At 36.4% G+C, this 6,000-nt stretch overlaps 1 protein-coding gene across 14 annotated transcripts in view; it reads left to right on the top strand.

Moving 5' to 3' along the window:
• The window catches only part of RRAGB (Ras related GTP binding B), a 41,026-nt gene extending 38,370 nt beyond the window's left edge, over positions 1–2,656 (top strand). For all 14 annotated transcript variants that reach the window (NR_148685.2, NR_148691.2, NR_148692.2 and 11 more), the window contains 2 exons: positions 1,098–1,213; positions 2,128–2,656. Coding sequence is in view for 4 of the 14 variants with exons in the window: in NM_016656.4 (NP_057740.2) it covers positions 1,098–1,213; positions 2,128–2,225 (214 nt within the window). In the remaining 10 variants the exon portion in view is untranslated. The remainder of the gene's footprint in view (positions 1–1,097; positions 1,214–2,127) is intronic.
• Positions 2,657–6,000: the final 3,344 nt, after the last annotated feature.

Genomic DNA, 6,000 nt, shown 5'->3' on the forward strand with positions numbered 1-6,000 from the left:
CAGCTGGTACAGAAGTGTATGAAAAATATCCAAACAGAATATCCTTTTGAGATGATTGATACTATTTGCGAAGAAATAAATAGAATATCCAAGGGAGTTTTGAAAAAGAAGGAGGAAGGAGAATTTGCCTTACTGAATACCAAAATTTACTCTAAAACTACTACTTTAAGTATTTACTATTTGACTTTAAAATAGTGAGGTACTGATTCAGAAATGGTACAGAATGGAGAGTCTAGAAATGTTTAATCACATTGTGTCAGCTATTGTTAAATAAAGTTTGAATCATAGCATTGTGAATCTAGGAAAAAGGAATGGCCGAACATCATAATTTAGCAAAGATTTAATAATCAAAATCCTTACCCTGATAACAGTTTGATTCCAGAACAGCAGGAATAAGTTTACTCTCTTTATGCCTTAGCACACTTTGAGACTTTCTGGAATGTTTATGCTAACATTTTGAAGAAGAAATAGCCAATGACAAGCAAATATAGTTGCCTTGTTTGTTTTCAAAGAAAAAAAGATCATTTCTTGAATTTAAATGTAACTGAAAAGTTATATTAATCTCAATGATAAGGAAATTTCAACTTAAGATGCTTATTAAATATTGAAGAAGTCTTCTGAAACATGATTTTAAACATGGATCTAGGTCTAAGCCAATTTTCATTTCACAGTCAGTTTCAAGTGCTTTAGCCAGATGTGGTGGCATGCACCTCTGTAGTCCCAGCTACTTGGGAGGCTTAGGCAGGAGGATCACTTGAGCCAGGATTTCAAGGCTGCAATGAGCCATGATGGCACCACTGCACTCCAGCCTGGGTGACAGAGCGAAACTCTTGACTCATAAAAAAATAAATTGAAATTTAAAAAATTTTAAAAGTCAAGTCCTAGCCCACTTTTGTCCCAGTTACTTTTCAAAACATGTTAAATTCAGTATAAGAGTTTCCTTGGAAAAAGTAGAGTTAGTGATTAACAATCTTAATGAAGTGGTGAATTGAGGTATAGTGCTATACCTCAATCATCAAAAGATGTTTAACATAAATAAGAGCTTGTTGTAGTGTTATTATTTCATTCTTTAACCTCTCTTCTTCATTTTCCTATAGCAAGCTGGCTGCCTCTTTCCAGAGTATGGAAGTCAGGAACTCTAACTTCGCTGCTTTCATTGACATCTTTACATCCAACACTTATGTGATGGTTGTGATGTCTGATCCGTCCATTCGTAAGTTTAAACTTAGCTGACCTAGGTTCAAAGCCACATACTCTTTAAACAATTGTCCCAGAGGTAGTACTTTATTAGATACTTAAAAGCTATTTTATAGTGGGGATGGTTACATAACAATGTGAGGGCACTTAATCCCAATGAACTGTATGCTTAAAAATAATTTAAATGATAAACTTTGTGTTATGTATACTTTACCACAATAAGAAAAAGTATTTTAGTACTAGTGGTAAATAGTTTTTATTTAATAGACTTATATTTTAAAGCTTAAAAATAATTTAGCTTCTAGGGTATTACGTTTTTCTTCATGGGAACTTCAAAAAGCAAGTCACTAAATCCAAGAATTTTAAAGAAAAAACCCAAATACATGATTTATGCTGCATCTGGTATAGATTTTTAAAAGACTAGTCAATCTAAGCTCTAAACTATTAAATGACAAACCATTTCATATGTCATTGCATATTCCTATGTACCACATTCTCATATTTCTGTTATGGGCATGAAGGGGTGTTTGATGCTTCCATGCCATAATAACCATGACTATCACAACCATTGAAATAAAGGTTCTTGCAGTATTTTCAGGATGGTCCCAGAAATTTAAATTAATCTCTCATCCATTGGCTTTTGCTACTTTAGGTTAATATTAAAATATAACATACATTTTTGGGGTTTATGCTGTTAGCTCCAAACCAAAAGATTTTGGAAATTTATTTTGGAAATTTTGTGTTTAGAATATGAATAAATCTGCTTATTCAGAAAAATTAAACCTTGATAACTTGGGACCTCCTATTCCTGTATGTTCTCTGACATACATTGAGGGATTTGGCTCTCTTTTGTTTATTTGTTTTACTAGTCAGACATTCCTTTGGCTGCCCATACTTAATTCTGTTGGGTGTTTCCGCCCCCGCCCTCAGCTTCTGCAGCTACTCTGATCAACATCCGCAATGCCAGGAAACACTTTGAAAAGCTGGAAAGAGTGGATGGACCAAAGCAGTGTCTTCTCATGCGCTAAACATTGATGAATATTGTTTCACACAAAAATTAAAAGTTTCCTAATTAATGTTGTATTCATATATGTAGGCTCTGAAATGTTGTGATGCTTATTGCTTCTGTATTTCTTCTCTACTCCCTAGTCTTAATGTTTAACCTTGAATGCTATTAACTTAAATAGCCATTGAGGAGTTAGAAGATGAATTGTTCATGAAGTCGGTGTTACATAAAAGTAGGTGATATGTAAGTTTTCTGATAACAAGGTTCTAATAGTGTTTAAATGTACTGGTAACCTGGTTCCAATAGTTGTGTTTGCCCAAGCCTTTCTCGGCATCATCTTGTATTCCTTATCAGATAGTAAGTAACCTGTAAGTTTGGAGTATTACTGTTTTCTCAGCATGCATTAAAAATATTCCTTAACTTCAATTGTAAATAAACTTTTGGTGTTAGGGATTTCAGTGTCTATTTTTCTTTTCCTTGTTTCTTCAACTTTGTCCTAAGAAAGAGTAAAGGAATTTCACAGTTATCCTAGGTGAAGGGGACCTTCTGGTTGGGAAGGCACAAAATAAAATTGGATGGGAAGAATGTAGCCAGATTATGGCCTTAAAGCGAGGCAGAAGAATTCAGATATAAGACATCTAAATGCGATAGGATATAGGAAAGCATTGTGGGCCTTTGAGCAAGGGAATTATGTGAAAGCAATTTTGAAAGAAAGTTAAGTTAGACCATATGTACTGACTGATAGCAGCTGGGGAAACTCTGGTAGTAATCCATGCCTGAAGTATATTTAAAGTCTATTCAGGATGCAACTGGAGAAGGAATGCATAAAAAGTGGAGGGAAAATAGGATTTATGAGGTCCAGGAGTGGTTAATTAGGTGTAATTCCATAACACCTAATGAGATGCACCTTCATTATTCTATCAAGCAGTATTAAAACCTTTTTCAAGCTGGCAGTTGTCTTTAATTTTGTCCTCTAAGGAAAAAATGAAGCACTGTGAACTGTGAGAAACGGAGTTTGATAACACAAAGCCCTAACATTTTCAGTTTCCATTTGCAGGAAAAGAGAAGACAGAACCATTTAGGGAATCTATAGCACAGTAGACAGTAGACTCATCTCATTTCTTCTTCTGCATGTCATTAAGGAACTTCTTCTAAACCACTGGTCTCTCACCTTTTCTCATCTTAGTTTAATAGTCCTAGTTGAGGGATAAGTAGAGTTTTCACTGAGCAGCAAAAAACATGTTTTTTTGCTACGTGACCTATGTTATGTAGACTAAAACTCTCAACTTGTAAAACAATTTTATGGGAATATTTCTATCAACAGCTGTGTTAATCTTCTGCAGAAGGAGAGATTTAAGTGTTCCAGAGTCTTTATCCTATTAGCATCTAGGAAAATGAAAAGAGTTCAGGAAGGTGAAGAGTCATTGAACAGGGGTGTATTCTGTGACTAGTAATGAGTCATTATTTGGCATGTTATTATTTTCAATATCTGGGGTGGGATTTAGAAGTGGGATTCACTTCTAAATCAGACATTCACACTACTTGAATGTGTTCTTTATAAGGTGGATAGATATTGATACATATAGAGACATTAAATTAGATGAGCCCAGAAAAATCATAAGGTTATGTCTTTATCCTATTTGCCCTTAGTTCATTCAGTCCTTGCTCAGATTATAGTTATAACTTGGACATAGATGTTTTGAAAGGTTAGACAAATGAGGTTCTGATTAGACTTAATCCTTCTTATGGTGATGGCCAGATAGCTGTCTTTGTCACTGAAGACAAAAGAGTTTTGAGATATATATTTATCCAAAGATGCAGTCACTTAGAAACAGAAGTGGAATCAGGTGGATGGTGAAGTCATGCACACAGAAACAGATGGAGAAAAGAAATCAAAATTAGAGATGAAATGATACAATGAAATAATGCTTTTTATAGGCCGTGTTACCTATGTCAGTAGGATAGGGGCCAGTGGGTCTCAAACTTGAGCATGCCTCAGAATCACTGGGAGGGGGGCTTATTAAAACAGATTGCTGCCCCACCCCAAAAGTGTCAGATTCAGCAGGTTTGGGGTGAGGCTCATGAATCTGCACTTCTAACATGTTCCCAGATGATGCTGATCCTGCTGGTCCAGGGACTACACTTTGGAAACCACTGCTTTAGGGAAGAGAAGACGAAATGTAGACAGGAAACAAGTATGGGAAAAGCATGTGTTCACCACTTTGGCAATACTGAAGTGAAGGCATTATACCAAGTACAATATATATGTTTTAAACCACTAATTCTCAAAGTGATCTATAAGTTTGAGAAGCACTGTTGTAGACAAAAGCAATGCCTGGGAAGCTTGTGTTTCATAAGTAATATGTTCAAATGGAAACCCTTGCTAGTATAAAGAGACTGTGGGTACTGATTTGTATTGGGACGACCTAGCTTGTTCCAGTTTCATCCAGCTTTATTTGCTAACTCAATAGGATACCAAGAAAAGTTAGGTAGATTGCCAAATGAAAATGGTGCTATCCTTTAGTTGAGTACTTACCAAGTATCAGTGCTTTATAAGGATTATCTAAGTTAATCTTCACAAGAACTACATGGCATAAGTACTATCACTGTCTCCATTTTGAAGATGGGGAAACTGGGCTCAGAGAAGATAAGAAACTTGCTAATAGTTATTGTGGTAATGGCAAAGCTGGGATTTGAATTCGGTCTAACTGGAGCTCATGTACTTATTCTTAACCTTGAAGTTATATGGCCTTCCTGAATGTAAGGGCCTATTCAGGGTGGAGAGTATGAGGTGCACCCAGGTGTGGTACCTCACTGTGAGACTACCACTATTTGGCTACTATGAAATAGTAAAGCAAACACTCGTGAACCTGTCTTACTCCTGGTTTTACTGGAGCATAGGAAGCCTTACCACAGTAGGCAGTACAAAGCAGTCACCAGGAAAACAAAGCAAAAATCCCTCCAGCTTGAAGGATTTAGGTCAAACCTAAACAGTCTTTTAATATTTAGAAGTTTTGTCCCTGAATTGGGTTACTGTAAGCAGTTATAGCCTCCACTTCTCTGGGGCCATTTGTTAATAAAAATAAGAGGGAGAAAGTGTGTAACTTTGTAACTTTTTTAGGTCTCTCACAACAGTGCTTTGCATAGGCCAGTTTAATATTTCCCGCTCAAATTCCTAACTCTTCATTATAAAGCAAGAAGTAGTTAGGGCCCTCCTGTAGCTCTCACTGACAAAATTTCTGGCCTCATTAGTTAGTTTAGTCAAAAGATATTTTTTCAATACTTACTATGTTTCAGACACTGTTTTTGAAGCCCAGGATATGAGAGTGAACAAAATAAAGCCCTTGTACTCATGGAGTTTATATTCTAGGAAGAGGAGACAGACAACCAATTAAGTAAACATAATATATTAGGAAAGACAGGTATATGAAGAAAATTTAAGCAGTAATGTGGGAAGGGGCTGGGGGCAGGCAGAGTAATGGCCCCATAGAGGATTACATCCTAATCCCTGGACCTATAAATATGTTTTGTTGCATGGCAATGAGGAAGTAAGTTTGCAGATGGAATTTAGGCTACTAATCAGCTGCCCCCAAGATAAGGAGATCATCCGGGTTTATCCAAATGGCCTAATGTAATCATAAGGGTCCTTTAAATGTGGAAGAGGGAGGTAGGAGAGTCAGTGTCAGAATGACTTGCCATGAGAAAGACTCAATTTGCTGTTCTTTGTTTTGAAGATGGAGGCAGGGGGCCATGAGCCAAGAAATGTGAGCAGCCTAGAAGCTGGAAAAGGCAAGGAA

This window comes from Homo sapiens, chromosome X (assembly GCF_000001405.40).
Source record: "Homo sapiens chromosome X, GRCh38.p14 Primary Assembly".
NCBI lineage: Eukaryota > Metazoa > Chordata > Mammalia > Primates > Hominidae > Homo > Homo sapiens.